The sequence below is a fragment of the Homo sapiens genome, chromosome 4 (genome assembly GCF_000001405.40).
Source record: "Homo sapiens chromosome 4, GRCh38.p14 Primary Assembly".
Taxonomy (NCBI): domain Eukaryota; kingdom Metazoa; phylum Chordata; class Mammalia; order Primates; family Hominidae; genus Homo; species Homo sapiens.
The window spans coordinates 152779757-152800668 of record NC_000004.12 but is presented as its reverse complement, the minus strand read 5'-3'; the positions used below and the strand labels follow the sequence as shown (position 1 = coordinate 152800668).

Sequence of the window (20912 nt, the reverse complement as noted above, 5' to 3'; positions counted from 1 at the left end):
TGTTCTAGTGTTACTATATTGAAGGACAGACAGAAGAATTAAGACTACAATCTCAGGATAAACTAATAAATATCTAATGCAATTTCTTTGCTTTTTTTGTTGTCACTGTTATAAAAATATACCTAATTTGCTTGTTTCCCCAATTTCTTGCTTCTACTTTTAAATAGTTTTTTTCTATACAGTTTCCTAAATTTACTCATCTTTTCTTTCATTGAGGCTCAAATCATAGCTCTGCTCCTTAAAAGCTATGTTGACCTTTCCAAGTTTTAGTTGCCTAATCTATAAAATGGGAGAAAAACATCAACAGGGTTATTGTAGCATTAAACGAGATGATATATGTAAAACCTAATACAACGCCTGACACTTAATAGGCCCTCAATGAATGTTGCCTATTAGGCTACTGTTCTTCTGGTAACAAATCTGACCCATAAGTTTTAAACATGCAGGTTTAAATTAGTAGAATACTAATGAGTAGGGAATTTTAAAGTCATAAAATATTCCTAAACTGTACTTTTGTTAACTGTAAACTCATATAATGCTTTTAAATTGGAGGATAAATTCAGCTTATACTCACGTACCTGTTCTTTTTTTAAATTTAATAAGAATGTTCCCCATGAATGCTGCATATTTGGGTATAGCTAAAAACACAAGGAATGCATAACATGGATTTCAATGTTAATTTCCAGACAAGTATGAACAATCAATTGCTTGGCAGTAGTTTCCTTCAGATCACCGTCATCCAGACTTAACTCCCTATTGAGCAGGAAATTTCTAGTTTAGCATCTATCAGAGTGACAATTACAAAGACAAAACTCACAACAGTAAACCACAAACAGAATACTTTCATTTATTTTTATGAATCCCATCATTGGCTAGGCTGTCAATCTTTCCTAGAACACACATGCACAATCTTCCTCTGATCATCTCTCAACAGGATAGATTCAGAGATCTGATCTTAAAAAATCAAATCCATGAACTAAGATACGTACCGTATACATAATTCTCTAGCTTCTCAGGATTACCTGTAACTACAACACTGCTTTGCCAAATGTGAAACACTCAAGCTATTTTAAATCACAAGGAACCCTGAATCCCCCGCAAGGAATACATATTGTGCAAAGAATTTGTCTTTGATTTTTGGACTAAACATAAATAATCCAGCTCTAAATCCTACATTAAAACTTATCACACTGAATCACAGTAGCTTGGCTTAGTTGAAGAAACACTGTGCCTAGTACTGTGTCACATAAACAGATGGCAGATTGGCACAGAAACACTGTAACTGGAGACAGAAAACCCCATATTGTGCTCCAGCCTTACCAATTCCTCTAAATCAGTCGCCATTTCTCTGAAGGTTAAATTTGTTCAACTAAAAAATGGGGAAAATAATAACTAATTTATTTGTATTCAGAATTTGCTTTTCAAAATTATCCATAATCATATGTATATCTATTCATTACAACAGGCAAACCATTCTAAAGACAAATAAAAATTCAGAAAAATTATTTGGCAAAATGTAAAAATGCACACTGCAATAAGTAAAAATTAATTTCATAAGATCATTTAGATATGAAACAGATTTTAAAAGATCAGAGCGTCAACTGATTTGACAAATGAAAAAACTGTGATGTCTGATGCCAAAATGTTAGTTTTTGTGACCTATGTAAAACAAAGTTCCAGACCAGAACTCAGATCTCCCTGACCTTCATGTGGTGGTTAGTGCTCTTTAGGACTGATGTGACTGTTTGCTAAGTGAAACATTATACTCAAATTTCATTCAAGAAAAGTTTAATGTGCTATTTCTGTTTCTATTTTTGTTCAGTAAAATTTAGATGTTACCAACTACATATGAAGAATTCTGCTAGGCACTAAGGGTAATAAAAAGTAAACTCTAGTTCCAGCTCTAAAAGCACTCTGAATCTAATCACAGAGATAAATATACACACAAATAAGTACCAGACACCATTTTAGCTACAATAATGCAAAGAAACAAATTTTTACTCTAGAAATACACTGGAGGGAATGATTTTACTGTTTGCTAACAGAATGTAATACATTAAGAAAATAATACAACATGGCCAAATGGCATTTATCCTAGAGGTAAAGGATTGGTTCAATTAGGAAATCTATTAGTACATACCGTATTCATAAATCTAAGGCAGGTAGGAAACATACAATTTTCTCCATACCACTAAGATGGAGTGTATGTGACAAAATTCAACACCCATTCGAAACCCAACACTCAAAGAAACAAGAATTAGGACGTAATTTCTCAACATGATAAAATATATACATTTTAGTCCTACAACCATTAAATTATTTAATAAAGAAATAACAGAGGCATTTCCACTAAGATCAGGAAAAAGGCAAAGATGCCCACCATTTCTACCACTATTCTTGTTTTTTGAGACGGTGTCTCGCTCTGTCGCCCAGGCTGGAGTGCAGTGGCGCGATCTTGGCTCACTGTAACCTCCGCCTCCCGGGTTCAAGCGATTCTCCTGCCTCAGCACCTGCCCCAACCACCCAGAGTAGCTGGAATTACAGGTGCCTGCCACAATGCCCAGCTAATTTTTTGTAGAGACAGAGTTTCGCCATGTTGGCCAGGCTGGTCTTGAACTCCTGACTTCAGGTGATCCACCCGCCTCAGCCTCCCAAAGTGCTAGGATTACAGGCATGAGCCACCGCGCCCGGCCATTTCTACTATTATTCAACATCATACCAGCGGTATTAGCCAAATCAACTAGTTAAGAAAAATCAATCAGAGGAATAATAGGTAAGGAGAAAGTAAAACTATCTCTATTTGCAGATGATATAATGGTAGCCTAAAAACCCTTGAAGAATCAATAATAAAATTAACTCAAAAATAAAATTCAATGAAGTAGCAAGATAATTAACATACAAAAATGTTCTCCTATACAAAAACAATAATCAGGGAAAATAATGGCAGAGAAAATCCCATTTATAATAGCAATAAAAAGACTAAATAGTTAGGAATAAACTAAACAATGTGTAAAAACTACACAAGGAAAATTTCAGCACCACTGAAAGACACTGAAGAACACTTGAGCAAAGAGAAAGATATCCCCATTCTAAGACAGGATGACAACATTATAAAGATGTCATTTCTCCCTTACTTTATAAATTCGATACAATACAATGAAAATACTAACAAGCTATTTTGTAAAGTTTGGCAAGTTGATATTCAAGTTGTGTGGAAAATCAAACACGCAAGAATAGGTAGGAAATCATTGAAAAAGGAAAACCACAAGGAGACCACCTCTATCAAACACTACAACACCAAAAAACATCTATAATTAAAGCAGTGTGGGACTAGCACATAAATAGGCCAGTGGAATTTAAAAAGTCTAGAATTAGACCCAAATATACCCAGAAATTTAGTAAATAACAAAGGTGGCATCTCAAATCACTAAAGTACAGATGGACTTTTCAATAAATGGTGCCAGGAAAACTAGGTATCCATCTGGAAAATATAAAATTCGATCTCTATCTCACATCATATTCCAGAATAAACTCCAAATGGATTAGGAATCTAGATATAAAATATGAAACCAGAGAAAGTACTAGAAAAAAATGGATGAATTCTGCTCAAAGTTGGTATAGGGAAAGGAGAATCCAGAAACAATAAAAGAAAATATTGACTACATAAAATTTTTTAATTGGACAACACACATAGTACATGCAAAGCAAACTAAGATGAAATATTCGCAACATACACCATAAAAGGCTAATATATAAAGAATTCTTAAAAACAAAGGTAAAGGAGAGCATTTTTGCACCCCAAGGGCTGCTTCTGGGTGCTCTGCAGCCGTCACTGTGCCACAGAATGAATATATTGAATTACACCATAAATGCTATACCATTTGGATTACCATGAGAGAAAGAGAAAGAAGGAAAGTCGAGAAGCTCAAGAATGTTCAAAGAAGGCAAAGAAAATGATTGGTCTGAAGGCTAAGCTTAATCATAAACAGCGCCATGCTGAGAAAATACAAATAAAAAAGACCATCAAGATGCATGAAAAGAGAAACACCAAACAAAAGAATGATGAAAAGATTCCACAGGGAGCAGTACCTGCCTATCAGCAGGACAGAGAGACAATCTCGAGCTAAAGTACTTTCCAATATGATTAAACAGAAACGAAAAGAGAATGAGGGAAAATGGGAAGTCCCTCTGCCTAAAGTATGTGCCCAGGGAGAAACAGAAGCATTAAGTTATTCAAACAGGAAAGAGAAAGAAGAAGGCATGGAAGAGGATGGTTACTGAAGTCTGCTTTGCTAGAGATGTCTTTACAAGAAAACCACCTAAATATGAAAGATTCATCAGGCCAATGGGCTTGCATTTCAAGAAAGTCCATGTAACACAACCTGAACTGAAAGCCACCTTTTGCCTACCAATACTTGGTGTAAAGAAGAATCCGTCATTCCCGCTGTATACAACTTTGGGTGTTATTACTAAAGACTGTCACTGAGGTAAATGTGAGTGAAGTGGGCCTTGTGACACAGGGAGGCAAAGTTATTTGGGGAAATATGCCCAGGTTATCAACAATCCTGAAAATGATGGATGCATAAATGCAGTCTTACTGGTTTGACAGCAATTTTATATATAATTATTGAGCACTACACACCAACTGAAAAAACTACCATTACTGTAATGTTTCTGAGTACTACCAAACAGCTATACCTGTCTGCAATCATCAAGAGATTATTAACTTGTAAACATTAAAATGGGGCGGAAAAAAACAAAACAAAGGGAAAAAGGACCAAAAATCAGATACAGGAAAAAAGACAGTCAATTCACCAAAAAAAAAAAAAAAAAAAAAAAAAAAAAAAATTACAAGGGCCCTCAAGTAACAATCGCTCAAATTCACTCAAAATTAGAGAAATGCCAATTAAAACAACACTGAAATACCATTTCTCATCTATTAGACTCGCAAAAATTTTAAAATATGACAAAACATTCCATTAGTGAGGATGTAAGGGAAACAGGCACTTACATGCATTGCTGATGGGAATACAAATTGGTACAACCATTCTAGAGAGAGTGTTGGTAATGTGTAACAAAATGACATATACACTTAACTTTGGCCCCAGCAATTCCACTTCAAGGAATCCACCCTGGGAATATACCTCCAAATATACAAAGACAAATACACACTCTAGCATTCTTTGTAATTGTAAAATATTGGAAACTTGGATGTGCCATATTCAATTACCTTTCTATGGTAGGAATATGGCACATAGGAAAGTGACTGAATAAACTATGGTACATCCAAGTTATGCAACTGTGGGGGGAAATAAAGAATGAGGAAAATCTCTATAATATGAAGTGATTTCCAGGACACAGTGTTAACTGAAAAAAGCAAAGTCTGAAAAAAGCAAAAAAATCCCTATGGTATGTTATGTTCATGTAAGAATGAAGGGGGATATAAGAAAATACACATTTCTACTGAAAAAGCAAAAACAAACAAACAAACAAACAAACAAACAAAAACACCGGAAGGATAAACCAGAAACTAAAGAGATAGGTTACCTACCCTGGGCAGGTGAGAAAGGGGTGGAAAGAAGAGTGAAAGGGCTTGGGAACAGAGTAGCAAGGCTAAGGATGGAGTGACACTTCTCTGGATACACGATATATTTTGTAATAATTCTGACTCTCAGAACCATAGTAATTTCCACATGCTGACATGGTGTCAGAAAATAAAGAAAACTTCAAAAACAGATGGGGGTTTGTTGAAAGAACACAGGAGCCAACCTGAAGGAGCCCATAACAGCCAATGCTGGAACGAATACAGCAACAAAATAAATGATAGTACTAGATCAAAAACAAGGAGTAAAATATTAATGAGTCCATATTGATATAAACAATCTGATAAGTAAATGGAGGAAAAGCGACAACTCTTCTTCACAATAGACGATAAGTAAATTAACATAGGAAGCAAAGTGGGAAACAATCAACATCAGGCAAATATCACAAATACTGCAGACAAGATCCACTTGAGAGATGCTAAAATTAGAGAGCAATAGTTTGAGGAGAAACAGGATTTACACAGTCTCCACGTAGCTCCAACAAGATACTTACCAACTAAAAAGGGAAAGATAGTAACTTCACAGTGTAAAAACAACACACTCAACCAAGTGATCAAGTAATCATAAGTAGTAAGACATATATCATAAACCCCTCAATACAATGCACTAAGAAAGACACAACATCATTTTTGTGGTATTCTTGCCAAAAATGCATAGGCTCAGTCCAATCATGAGAAAACATCAGACAAACCTAAACTGCGAGATATTCTAAAAATAACTGATTAGTATTCTTCAAAAGTGTCATAGTCATAAAAGACAAGCAAAATGTTAGAAACTTTAAAAGAGACTACGGAGAAATTGCTAAATTCAATGTGAGTTCCTATATAGGACCCTGGGACTGAAAACAGACAGTAGTTGAAAATTTGGTTTCATTCTAATAAGAGCTATAGTTTAATCAATAATATTATATCAATGTTCATTTCCTACTTGTAATAATTATATTATGGTTATGTAAGATGTTAGCATTAGGGGAAATGGGGTGAGGAATGTAAGGGAACTCTACTATTTTTGCAGCTCTTCCGCAAGTCTAAAATTAGATGAAAAGTTTTTTAAAAACAGTAAGAAATTCTGAACAAAGGTAGAGGAATTACCCTTTAAATAAAAGAAGAAAATCTCTTCCAGTGAGGCCAGAATAAAGGAAGAAGGAACCTGTAGAGATAGTGAAGAGTAACATGGAAAAATGGAAGGTTCAGGCAGTTCGTTTTTGCTGTCTTACTTTCTTGTGAAATAGGAGTTATCATTTGACCGCCTGTATAAAACAGCACCAATGAGGAAAATATAGTAGGTCCCCCACCTTATCCATGTTTTAGCTTCCCACAGTTTATCAGCTGTCAACCATGGTCTGAAAATAAACCTCTCTTCTTTATAAATTACTCCGCCTCAGATATTCCTTTATAGCAACTCAAACAGACTAAGAAAATATGTTGTTATAATTGTTCTATTTTATTATTACTGTTGTTAATCTCTTATTGTGTCTAATTTACAAATTAAACTTTATCATAGGTATGTATGTATAGGAGAAAACTTAGTACATATGGAGTTTGGGACTATCCACAGTTTCAGGTATGTGGGTCTTGGAACATCTCCCCCAAGACTATGGGAAGACCACTGTACATCATTATCATTCAGCTCTGGAAAAGACCAAATAACTCAAGGCAGATAGAGAAACATAAATCAAATTTCTGAGAATTACAGAGATAGGTACTAAATATTATATATATATTATATATATATATATCATTTTTTTTTTTTTGAGACGGAGTTTCGCTCTTGTTGCCCAGGCTGGAGTACGATGGTGCTATCTCGGCTCATTCTTTAAGTGCTCTGATCCACTTCATATTTATTTCTTAAAGGTCTTCTTGTTTATAACTTTGATAACAAAATACATGGGAGTAACAAGACTTAAGAAGTTAATGACCTATATAATTTATGCTGTTTAGGTTATACATTTTCTAATTTTTGTATGAATTCAGTTATCTTTGAAAGCTGTCTTTAAAACAGAGTGATAAATTACTATTACAAAACCACCACTGATGTTCAGCCCTCACAAACCAGTTATATTGGAGGCCAAAATGTCATTAAGTCATCTCTGGGGGTTCTACTGTAAATCAGCCAGAGGTATTTGCTAACAAAAGAGTGTAAGAACCAAAGACCTACAAAGTGAATTATTAATTAGAATTTGTCACCTCAAGTTTAAAATCCATCCAACTCTTTGTAGCTGCTTTGATTTTACTATAAAAATCACATTTTTATATATACATACTGAATAGACCAAATCTATACAGAGGAAAACCTTGTAAGATCATTTCCCAAATTTTAGTGAGGGAGAGTTTTATACTCTACCACTCTTAAATGCATTTAAGGTCTTCTTAGCACCCAGGAAAGAGAGGGCAGGAGGTATTAGATTTGCCAGGATCCCTAAAACCCCTTCAGAGTCTCCATGACAACACTGAGTTTAAAGATTCAGAAGTCTAATGATAAAGGATCTGTGGCAGGAGTGTTGTTGAACATAAATCATAATGGGAGCTTTTCAAATTCAGGTACTCATATAACAGGTGGTCTGAAGTGGTATGCCCAAGACACAGGAGGGCAGATACAACCATAGCAGACAAGATAAACATGGCACATCATACTGGAATATGAATTTACATTATTTTTCACTAAATATAGAATCTAAAGCAAAATTCACTTGAATAAAACAACACACATAAGTCTTCAAAGAAATTTACTGAATTTTTATGATAAAATATGAGTCTTCAAAGAAATGTCTAAAGGGTTATTACTCTTTCTAAAGGTACTTTAGTAAAAAAAAGTTTGAAAAGTACTATAAATAATGATATACAGCATCAAGAACTTCTGACTGGTGAGTCAAGGACAATAAAAGGAGGTAAATAGAAAACACTGAGAGCAAAAAGTAGCAAAACTTGGGCTTGTTTTAAAGTGATTTTGCTTAGTTTCTTTAGACTTGATATTCCAGAGATCAGTTATTATTCTAAAGATTTTTTTAAGTGGCTCTATTTCTTTCACTTTTGATGAAATCTACTGGAATATGCCCATCTTTTCTCATTCATGGATAAACAGGAACAGAATGGTAAGATCAGTTTTTTCTTTACCATTAGAATATATTTATTTTGCAAGTTATTTTTAATGCTTCAGCCACAATTTCCACATATTTTTATATTACCACAACTTTTAAAAATACTTTTTAAACATCAGATACAGAATTTGTTCGAGGTTAAAAAGGAAAAACATATTCTTTCTGTTGAATAATATCACATTATATTTAACTTAAAGACTATTAACCTTTTGAATAGCAAGAATTGAAGCAGCTGGTGGTCATACTTATTTGTAGGTCCCAAAATAGCCCTGAGGTCTGAAGAGGAAAATATCTTTTATAAACTATAACAAAATTCTCACCTCAAAATAAAATACTAAGAAATTTGCAAAATTATATCTGTATTTACGTCTTTACAAAATCCAGAAACCTACTGGATTTTTAGAAATTACAATGAAAATAGGTTTATATTCAGAAAACAGAGCTTATACCAAGATGACATTGCTTAAAACCTGGAAAAGACTTGTTTTGATTTCGTAACTGAATATTAATTTTCAAGTTGAACTGACTTGTTTACAATAAAAAATTGAGTTACCATACATGACTCCATTTTAAAACTATATGTTCAGAGTTGAAAATATCCAAAATATAGAAGCTTTTCAGTCAAAACAATTTAAAATGATTTTGTTTTCTGATGACAGTTCTCCTAACAAGAAGAAAAACGAATCATTTTCCTTACTGTCCAATGCAAAAGAAATGGAAATGGCTTACCACACAATATGTTCAAAGTATATTACATTTATTTTTATAAATAGAATAACCAAAGAAGATAATACAGAATAACTTACATTATTCTTCTGTCTTTATATTAACAACTATCTGGTATCTGTAAAAGCTATTTTGCTAAATACCTACAAGTTCTTTTACATATTGATAAATTAAGTTCAGGTTGCTTATTAAGATAAACACATCGGGCCAGGCATGGTGGCTCAAGCCTGTAATCCCAGCACTTTGGGAGGCCAAGGCCAGTGGATCACTTAAGCCCAGGAGTTCAAGATCAGCCTGGGCAACCTGGCAAAACCTCGTCTCTATAAAAAAAAAAATACAAAAATGAGCCAGGCATGGTGGCACGCACCTGGGGTCCCAGTGACTCAGGAAGCTGAGGTAGGAGGATCGCTTAACCTGGGAGGCAGAGGTTGCAGTAAGCCGAGACTGTGACACTACACTCCAGCCTGGGCAACAGATTGAGATTCTGCCTCAAAAAAAAAAAAAAAAAAAAAAAGATAAACACATCAGTCTAGATAATTCAAAAATAGAAAGCCCTGACAAAATAGTTACTTCTGAATTATATGCATAATAAGAAACAATTTAAAAGTTAACCTAACAGATTTTCAACTATGCCTATCTCTACCACCATAACCAACTCTTAGGTAACAAAACTGACTGTCTGCAGAAGTCTTTTTAAATTTCCCCACTCAGACTGTGTTACAGAGAAACCAATGAGAAGTAAAATGATAAGACTCTCAAAACTAAATTACTCTCTGAAAAGAAAACTAGCTGTAAATTAACTCTAAATTATTCAGTATGCTGTGGCCTCATTCTTCATAGATGGCTCAGTTCCAGAACATTAGCAGTGAAGCCAACCAAGAACCAAGAGAGGTGGTCATCTCTGTTGTTGTAATTGATTTCATTCAAAGATCAAACAGGTTACCTGTTATTTGGTATTATCTGAACTGCTTTTGTCCCTTAGCAATGGATAATTGGAGAGTTACTTTTTGTTACTAAATTCCCAAAACCATGTAAAATAAACCCCTTCAATATTCACAGGTAATTTTTTTAATGAAAAATGCTCACAGGAAATAAACTGAAAATATAGCTTAACATATATATAGTTACATATAGAAATATTTATAGATATGTGTATATACATGAGTTAGTGTACACACATATATTTCCTTACTCTGTCCACTGGGAGGGCCTAGAAGCAATGACATTCCAACAGCAATGAGCAAACATAGTGCCCAGATATTGGTTTCTAATACTATTCTCCAATAGAAGGAATCAGTGCTCCTTGGAGAAAAGGCTGATTCTAGGCCTGTGGTAGGTAATACACAAGGTGAGCCTAGAGCATTTTGTAATACCAGAAAGTTAAAAGTGCTCAAAAACAAACAAACAAACAAAACAAGAACAAAAGTCTCACAATGACAGGAGTATGTCAAAGGAATACAGGAACCAACTAAAAGAGCTCCCAGTGGCCACAGCTGAAACAATTTGAGCAACAAAGTAATAAAGTACTACTGGATTTACCCTTAAGTATAAAATAAATATCCATGAGTCAGACTGATATAAATAAACGACTGAAAGGGGAGAATAGACAAAAAACTCTTATAGAAGATTTTTCAAAAATTTATGTAGACACTTCACCCTTAAAGAGGTAAAGCATAATTCCCCAATTCCCAATTGTGTGCTTCACAGAGAGACTTTCTTCTAAAAAGTACAATATACAAAAGGAGGGGGAAAACAGAGTAACTTTACAGTGGACAAAACTGATGAACATTATCTCAAGCCAAGTAGTCAAGGTTAATATCAATGGTACTGTCATATTAATAGTTTGTATTCTTGGCCAGGTACAGTGGCTCACGCCTGTAATCCCAACACTTTGGGAGGCTGAGGTGTGTGGATCACCTGAGGTCAGGAGTTCAAGACCAGCCTGGCCAACATGGTGAAACCTCTCTCTACTAAAAATACAAAAATTAGCCGGGCATGGTGGCATGTACCTGTAGACCCAGCTACTTGGGAGGCTGAGACAGGAAAATCGCTTGAACCCAGGAGGTGGAGGTTGCAGTGAGCCGAGATTGCGTTACTGCACTCCAGCCTGGGCAACAGAGTGAGACTCTACCTCAAAAAAAAAAAAAAAAAAAAAAAAAAAAGTCTGTATTCTTGATATGATGTGATGGGAATGGCACTTTACTTCTGTGATCTTCCTCCTAGAAACATATCACCCAGTCTAATGAGAAAAACAGCAGACAAGTCCCAACTGAGGGACAGTCTACAAAATACCTGACCAGGCAGTAATCTTCAAAACTATCAACTTGTCATCAAAAACAAGGAAATCTGAGAAACTGTCAAAATGAAAGGATACATGACCACTAAAGGTAATATGCTATCCTAGATGGGATCCTTGAACAGAAAAAAAAAAAAAAAAAAAAGACATTGGGGAAAAGTGAGGTAATCTGAATAAAATATGGACTTTAATAATTACGTGCCAATATTGGTTAATTGTGACAAATGTACTATGCTAATGTAGTATGTTTTTGTTTTTGTTTTTTTGAGATGGAGTCTCGCTCTGTCATCCAGGATGGAGTACCGTGGCATAATCTCTGCTCACTGCAACCTCCGCCTCCTGGGCTCAAGTAATCCTCCCACCTCAGCCTCCCAAGTAGCTGAGATCACAGATGGGCACCACCATGCCCAGCTAATTTTTTGTATTTTTGGTAGAGATGGGGTTTCACCATGTTGCCCAGGCTGGTCTTGAACTCCTGAGCTGAAGCAATCCACCTGCCTTGACCTCCCAAAGTGCTAGGATTACTGGCATGAGCCACTGTGCACAGCCTATCTTATAATAGGGGAAAGTGGGTATGGGAAGCTCTATTCTATCTTCACAGTAATTCTGTAAAACTAAAACCATCCAAAAATAAAAGGGTCTATTACAAAATAGTGTAAGAATACTGTGCTATATTGCTATATTTTATATAGCTACTAATAACACATTTTTTGTTTTGAGACGGAGTCTTGCTGTCGCCCAGGCTGGAGTGCAGAGGCACGATCTCGGCTCACTGCAACCTCTGCCTCCCAGGTTCAAACGATCTTCCACCTCAACCTCCCAAGTAGCTGGAATTACAGGTGCAGGTCACCACGCCCAGCTAATCTGTATATGTATATTTTTTAGTAGAGACAGGGTTTCACCATGTTGGCCAGGCTGGTCTTGAACTCCCAACCTCAAGTGATCCACCCACCTCGGCCACCCAAAGTGCTGGGATTACAGGCGTGAGCCACTGTGCCCGGCCTAATAATTTATTTCCATACACTTGAAAGAAATAGTCAAACTGAAAATTTAATTACAGGTTGATTATCCCTTTTCCAAAATGTTTGAGACTAGAAATGTTTTGGATTTCAGATTTTTTTGGCATTTGGAATATTTCCATATGCATAATGAGGTATCTTCAGGAAGGGACCCAAGTGTAAACACAAAATTCATTTACATTTCATATACACCTTATACACATAGCTTGAAGGTAATTTTATATAATACTTTTAATAATTTTTTGCATGAAACAAAGTTTGTATACACTGTACCATCCAAAAGCAAAGGTGTCACTATCTCAGCCACTCATGTGGACAGTCTGTGGTTGTTTGACATCACTATCATTCCCGTCTCTGAATTTATATGCTACGTATAACCAATCATTTCTTACACATACACATGGCATTGTATTGCCCTTTGCGGGCATGCTTGCGTAGGTGCATCTGGCTGTGTGAGGAAAAGATATATGGCAGCTGAAGGGGGCTAGGCAGGTCTTTTTTCTCTTGGAGAAACTGTTGTACACCTGCATTCTGACTTTGATTCATCACATAAAGTTGGGTGTAGAATTATGTACTTGTAGCATCATGTTGGGCTCAAAAAAGTTTTGAATTTTGCAGCATTTTGGATTTCAAGTTTTTGGATTAGGAATGTTCAAACTGTACTACCATTTTAACACTATTTTTATAAAAATTCATATTCAAATTCTTGTATTACAAAACTCGATGAACTGAAATCCTTAATACCATTAACTTGGAAATTTAATGAGTCAAATTTAGGTGTCAGGTACTGAGCTAGGTTCTAGGGATTCAAAAATGAGCCAAAAAAGAAAACAAGATATGGACCTTACCTTCATGAAGTTTATAGGCCACTGAACAGAAAGAAAATCTTACAGTCACATGAATAAATGTAAATTGCAAACTGCGGGAAATGTATGATGCTATTACCTTAATGTGGGAAGTGAGCATATTCTCTAAGGATGCAAAACTTCAGCTGAGGTGTGAAGGATGACTAGGAACTAACAAGTGAAATGAAATGAAAGTAAAGAAAGAATGGTCCAGACAGAGAGAAAAGCATGTACAAAAGCCTTGCAAAAATGGCAGGGAGCAAGGTGCATACAAAGGACTAAAGAAGGCCAGCATGGTTGAACTGGAGAGTTATGCAGAACATGGTACAAGATGAGTCTGGAGAGCTAAAGGCTGTTAAGCAGTTTTATTTTGATCCTAGAAGCAATGGAAAGCCATAAAAGCACTGGGGGAGGAAGAAGGAGAGTGATAATCCAATGTGTGTTTCAAAATAAATCACTGTGCCTTCAAGATGGGTAATGAATTAGAGAGGACAGATAAGAATGGAGGCTATTGTAAAAGTTTCAGGCAAGATGAAGTGGCAGTAGTGGAAACAGGAAGAAATAGAAAAATTCAAGAGTCATGTAGAAAGTAAGACTTTAAAAACTTGTTCAATCATTGGATCTATCAGGGAGAGGGAATTAAGGATCACTTCTAGTTTTCTGGATTTTACAATGAAAAGATAATTGTGTCATTCACTGAAAAAAGGAACAAAGAAAGAACCAACGTTGTGCAGTTTTGTAGGGAGGGAAGGGGAAATCAGTTTCATTTTAGACATACTGGATTTGAGATACCTTTAAGATATTCAAGAAAGGATGTCAACAAGACAGCAAGACATACAGATCTACAGCTCAAAGCAGACAGAAAACACTCATGCCCTTAATGAAGCTGACATCTTTATCCTAGAAAAGCAGCTAACTATAATCCCCAAATATCCAAGAAAAATGTTAGACTTAGACTTTGACCATCTGGATTTAGTTAAAACAAAAAGCTGAGAGAGAACATGGCAATAACATTTCATCAGCTAAAACAAAAACTGCTAGGCACCATGGGTAGCAGATTTTTAAACTCGTGGTTCAACAATATAGGAATTATGTATCACATCATATCATGTCGCATTTTAAAGTTTTATCAGGGCTGGCCAATGTTGTTGGAAATGTTCTAAATTTGCACTGTCCAATAAAGTAGCCACCAGCCACATATGATACTGACACTGAAATGTGGCTGGTACAATGAGGAACTGAATCTTTTATTGTATTTAATTTTAACTAACTTAAATAGCTACATGTGGCTAGCATCCCTGGCATTAGACAGTGCAGGTTTACAGCTTTCTCATATATTTCATCTGATTCCCCAATACCTACTTTTCAAATTAACTGGGAGAGAGGTGTGGTGGGTGGAGAGATTAGAGGAATAGAAAAAACATCCTTTCCATTTTCTGCTTATTACTTGAATCTTTATTTCAAGAATTTATAATACTTATGCTGGATGCAGTGGTTCATGCCTGTTATCCCAGCACTTTGGGAGGCCAAGGCGGGAAGATCGCTTGAGCCCAGGAGTTCAAGACCACCCTGGGCAATATATAGCACTGAAACAAAACAGATAAGGTCCTGGCCATTTTAGAGATTACAGATCACGGGCTTAAACCCAGGGGCTCTTTCCACTGAGGGTATAAATTCCTGATCCATCCCTTTTTAGGTATGTGACCCTGGACAAAGCACTTTACCTAAATCTCAATTTCTTTATTTCTAATGTGGTGATGTTATCTGCTCTACCTATTTGGTATGGCTGGAGTAAAAATAAAATGAGGATGTATGTGAAAGTGCTTTGTAAATTATTACATGCTAAACAAACAGAAGGTATTAAACAGAGTAACATATTCCTTTTCTCTAGGGCAAAGATTTCCAAACAGTGTGCCAAGAATGGATTACAGATGTGCTGAAATTGTGACCCATTCCCCCACTCCACAGCTTCCAAGGAACCAAGGAGGGCCTGGCTCTAGTCTGCCATACAATTATAATCATTTTTTATGTGTGCCATGATGAGTATCTCAGGCTAGCAGAAACTGGAGTTGGCGAACTGACTCCCTCCTCTGGAAGATTTAGGGCTTACCACTAACTCTGCTGCTTTTATGATCCTGTTCCAAAGGCAGTATGTCACTGTTCCCCAGGGACCAATGAGGCTCAAGCTTCAACATCAAGGAGCTGCTAGTCCAATGCTATCACAGATATACAAAAATAAAATATAAATTCTTATCTTAGGTGAGAACATGGTAAAGACACTGCCATATTTTCACAAAAGATTTGAGCAATTGCCTGTTTTGCAACTACCTTCAGATCCCCAAATCTTTGTCTTTCAAGAGAGGATCTGATTTTTTCCAAATACCCAAAGTTATTCAGATTCTGGTGACTGAGGTCACGAAGTGACGAAGCCAGGCAAGAACTTCATTTTTGTATGTCTCAATCTGAACCGACAGTCATACTAGAAGAAGATTTCAAAGCAGATTGCCTACTCTGAAAAACAGCATTCACTTAAATAAGTATGTTCATTAAGGGAAAAAAGTGTATTTCATAAAGAGACTTTATATTCCTTTTTCAGGAACAACTAAAGGTTTGAGCAACACCTGCCTATGCCCATCCTAAGACAAAGGCTTAGAAGGAATGGAGGAGAATGGAATGAGAGATGGGAGAAAGAGGAGAATAGGAATAAAGGAAAAAGAAAAAGAAAATAAATACTTTTGTCTCATAAAGAATATCTGTTAATCTGCAAGAGCCATTCGGCAGCTTCCATGACTGCCAAAAGCTACTAAAGATCAAGGAAAACAAAATTATTTTCAGGCCAATAGTCTTTTTCATACATCCAGAAGTAGTGCTACATATCTGACTTTTAGATTGTCATGATCCTAAGTCATCAACTTCCATATTAAGTGGAACAACTCACTTTCCATTCTGTACAAATATTTTAGTTTTTCATCCATAACCATATTAAAGTTTCCTGTTTAATTTACTCCTTCTTCCATTCTGAATTTATTCTTTCCATCCCAAATGTATTATTCTAAAATTTATTTATACTTCCAGACTCTTACAATGCCCAGTTTATTACTTATAATCTTCATTTTCACATTTTCCCCTCCTCATATACACACACACCATCTGCTTATTATTTGAATCTTCATTTCAAGAATTTATAATACTTACAATTCTTTATTTCAAGTAGGTGTGTGTGTTCTAACACACACACACACACACACCAGAGACTTATATCCATCCCCATAGGAAACCCCTACCAACTGCCTCCACCAAATTCACTTTTTTGTCAAACTTCTCAGTATGATATTCAACCAGATGTTCATCCACTGAAGATTAAGAAAGGAAACAACCTTTTCTCAACACCTGATAGAAAGTCAGGTGATATATCTCCAACTCATTTCAAAAAGGACATAATGGACGCATGGTAGAAGTTGTCTACAGTAGTAGTCTAGAGTCAGACAACGTAGGTGGAGCCATGCACTGGCTCCACCAGCGCAATTCTGAGCAGACTACTTTAGCTTCAGTTAATCATTCAGCTTTATTTTCTTCACCTACAGAAATGAGGACTTTAGCCACTTTATAAGGTTATCATTTGAGATAATAATGTAAAGCACTTAGCTTAATGCACATGGTAAGCAAATAAATGTAACTGTTACAGTGTTAGATATAAAATATCTTCCGAATTTGTCATTACCTTAAAAGGAAACTAATTTAGCATAAGCTAGTCTGTTGTTGATGTTGTTTTTGAGATGGAGTCTCACTCTGTTGGCCAGGCTGGAGTGAAGTGGTGGGATCTTGGCTTACTGCAGCCTCCGCCTCCTGGGTTCAAGCGATTCTCCTGCCTCAGCCCCTCCCAAGTAGCTGGGACTACAGGCATGCAACACACACCCGGCTAATTTTTTTATTTTTAGGAGAGATGGGGTTTCACCATGTTGGCCAGGTTTTGAACTCCTGACATCAAGTGATCCACCCGCCACAGCCTCCCAAAGTGTTGGGATTACAGGTGTGAGGCACCGTGCCCAGCCTAGCATACGCTATTCTCTATAAACTTATGTTGACTGCTCCCCCAAGTGAGGTTGCTAGACAGAGGAAAACTTATTCTGTGAGCAGAAGAAACTGGATACTCATGATAGACTATGATGAGCTGTATAGGTCTCTTCAAGTTAACATTCTAAAAAAAAAAGTATCAGACCTTTAGAACTGCAACCCTCAATCAACAAATAATTCACAACCAAATCAGTAAGTTCAAATATGTACTCTAAAACTTACATTAAGCTTGGAAGGATACTAACGTATTCACAAGAGAGAAACAATCATTAAAATATCTCATACAGAATGGAGGGAAAGGGGATGTCAAGATAAGCAACAACATTCCAAAGGACCACACCACTGAAACATCTTGTTTGTTTTTCATAGCAAAGCCAAATCAAATCCTAAGGTACATGCCTCAAGCAAAAAAAATTAAGAAAATGAAAGCAAAATACAACTAGAATTTAAATTTTTTACTCTGAACTGTGCCTAGTTGGTTGGTGATATTTAATACATATTAAAGATAGGCACATCAGTTTGTAAATCCACTGGATCTCCAGAGCATGGACCACAAACAGCTATCCCTAAGAAGAAACCTCAAAACCACAAATCAGGAAATAAAGTGGGCAGCCTCATTTCCTTCTGTAAGTCTAGGAAGGAATTTAGAAACACTAATGTTTTAAAGGAGAGATTTCAATATCAAACTAGAAGAATCCCTGCATTCTCCTTTCCTTGGTCCCAAAGCAAACAATTTACAGTTTGGGAAAACACACACACACACACACACACACACACACACACACCCCTACCTGTTTTCACTAACTTCAACAAGACACTGCCTAAGTGGTGGTTTTAATCTATCAAGAAGCTATATATCTCCTTTGCACAGTTTGGGAAAGCACACACACATACACACCTGTTTTCACTAACTTCAACAAGATACTGCCTAAGTGGAAAACACACACACACATACACACACAAAACCTGTTTTCACTAACTTCAACAAGACACTGCCTAAGTGGTGGTTTTAATCTATCAAGAGGCTGTATATCTCCTTTGAGAATTTGATAAAAACAATGGACACTTTCCCCAGGGGGGAAAAAAATTCACTCAAACAAAACTGCATATAATTTCAGGGGTGGGAATGAGGAAGACCCCTGAAAGTTGTTGACCCTTAGGCCATGAACCCCAAGTCATCATCCAGGATTAAGGCAAATCATAATCCAAGGAAAACCAGTTTATCAATTTGGAAAGAAACTAAAGTAACTGAGGCAGGGATTTAATCCACAAAATACATTAGAAATCTTTTCTCTTTTCTCAGATAAAAGTGTGTTAGACTTGGTAGTTGGGAGAAGACGTGGGTCATGCTAAGCAAGGAAAACAAAACAAAAAACACCACAGGACAAACGAAAGAAAAGCAGAATTAAGGCAGCAGTAAAATATAGTAATCTGTAGCCGCTCTGAGAGAACAGCAATGAAATGGCCAATTCGGCCGGGCGCGGTGGCTCACGCCTGTAATCCCAACACTTTGGGAGGCCGAGGAGGGAGGATCATTTGAGGTCAGGAGTTTGAGACCAGCCTGGCCAACACGGTGAAACCCCGTCTCTACTAAAAATACAAAAATTAGCTAGGCGGTAGTGGCGCCTACCTGTAAACCCAGCTACTCAGAAGGCTGAGACAGGAGAAAAGCTTGAGCCTGGGAGGTGGACGTTGCGGTGAGCCGAGATCGTGCCAATGCACTCCAGCCTGGGCGACAGAGTGAGACTCTGTCTCAAAAAAAAAAAAAAAAAAAGAAAAAAGAAAAGGCCAATTCCTGAAGCCTTAACAGACGGCTGACTTAAGGTAACCATTTCTGGTGCACATTTCTATGCCAATTAAGTTAATTAAATGGCAAACATGAACACACCCTTACAGGTGAAAGTATGAAAGCAAAAGTTTATGCGAAGTTCTGGATCTCTTCCGGCTTTTCCTTATCAAATAATAATGTAGTTAGATGAATTTTATACTTTAGGAGAAAACAGGGTAGGGGCGGGGGACAGAAATCCTAAGAGTGGCCAAAGGATCTGCAGGAAGTATAAAGTGTAAACTTTTTGAAATCAAAGGGCTCAAGAGGAAGGTAAGAACAAAACAAAGGAAGTAATAACAAAATAAAGTAAAAGGGAAAAACGTCTAGCATCTAAAAACTGTTTTTAAAAAATTATTTCCTTTTCCTAGACACGTAAACAGTAGTAACTTGGCAAACAGGAACGGAGCAGAAGACAATCGAACAACTCCCTTTCCAAAACTCCAGCATTCCTTAGTCAGGCTTGGGACATTTCACAGGCAAGACTCCTCTCTGCACCACTGCCAGATGAATCTCTCAGAGGGACTGTCACTATCTCCCTTCCTCCCACTGCGGGAGAGAGGAAGCTGGGGATGCAGGGAGAAGAGGGGAGAAATGAGGGTTGGACAGCAAGCCTGAAGGTGGCCCACTCCGACACTTTGTCAAGAAAGGTCCGGATTCTGGATCCTGCAACTCCTTTTCCCACCCAATGTATGCAAAGCCAAGAGAGTGCCTCCCTGCAAGGGCCGGTCCTACACCTTCACTCGACTGTTTCGGGGGCACACTCAGAGGGACAGAAGGAATGAAGGACAGAAGAAACCAAAGGCATAACACTTGGGCAGATACGGCACAGACTAAGGAGAGGCGTGCCCTGTGAAAGTTCGGAACGGTGAACCCGTAGGCAACGTGCCCGCCCCACCAGCCACCTCAAACCATCTTTCCCCCGCCTTTTCCCAGGCGAGCCAGCTCCGCCCTCACCTTTCTTAGGGTAACTCGGTAGCTTCTAAGTCGAGGCTTATCCTTTCCGCCGCTCTCTGGAATCGCCTCAACCCTGGCAAAAACTGAGCGGAAACGCGACCCGGACCTTTTCCTTCTTCCCCTTCCCCCACGCACCTCGGCTGCTCGGGGGCGGGGAGCAACTGCAGCTGTCACAAATTCACACTGACCAACCGCCGAGGACAGTCGGACCGGCGACCTCTCAACCCAGCCTCCAGAACCAGAACCAAGAGCAGCGAAGCCGGAAGTGAGGAGACCGGAAGTAGCGTTGTCCCTGGCCCTGGACGGCCTCTCTCTCCCTCAATCCGGCCTTGCCCGGCCACGTCTCGGTGGTGTCAGCGCACCTCCCACGAGGATCCCTCCGCCCTTCTCCGGGAGGCGGGCTACGCCCCTCCCTCTGCTGCCCTAGCAACCACATCCGGGACTCCGGCGGTGTCGTTGCCCGGGTAATT

General features: G+C 37.5%; 1 protein-coding gene and 1 pseudogene across 6 annotated transcripts in view, besides 2 other annotated features; one reads left to right on the top strand and one right to left on the bottom strand.

Annotated features, from left to right (window-relative positions):
- The window catches only part of ARFIP1 (ARF interacting protein 1), a 132404-nt gene extending 111689 nt beyond the window's left edge, over nucleotides 1-20715 (bottom strand). For 2 of the 6 annotated variants that reach the window (NM_001025595.3, NM_001025593.3), the window contains exon 1: nucleotides 20443-20715. The gene's annotated coding sequence lies outside the window, so the exon portion shown is untranslated. Of the gene's footprint in view, nucleotides 1-9793; nucleotides 9911-20442 lie in introns of all 6 variants that reach the window. The other 4 variants (NM_001287431.2, NM_014447.4, NM_001287432.2 and 1 more) reach the window with 3 other exon arrangements.
- On the top strand, nucleotides 3782-4361 carry NSA2P6 (NSA2 pseudogene 6; annotated as a pseudogene).
- Nucleotides 20438-20487: an enhancer, noted in NCBI's record as "active region_22047". NCBI's record gives its function as "activates an Ori minimal core promoter by ATAC-STARR-seq in GM12878 lymphoblastoid cells {active_cell/tissue: GM12878}" and the evidence as "EXISTENCE:reporter gene assay evidence [ECO:0000049][PMID:35858748]".
- Nucleotides 20678-20837: an enhancer, noted in NCBI's record as "active region_22046". NCBI's record gives its function as "activates an Ori minimal core promoter by ATAC-STARR-seq in GM12878 lymphoblastoid cells {active_cell/tissue: GM12878}" and the evidence as "EXISTENCE:reporter gene assay evidence [ECO:0000049][PMID:35858748]".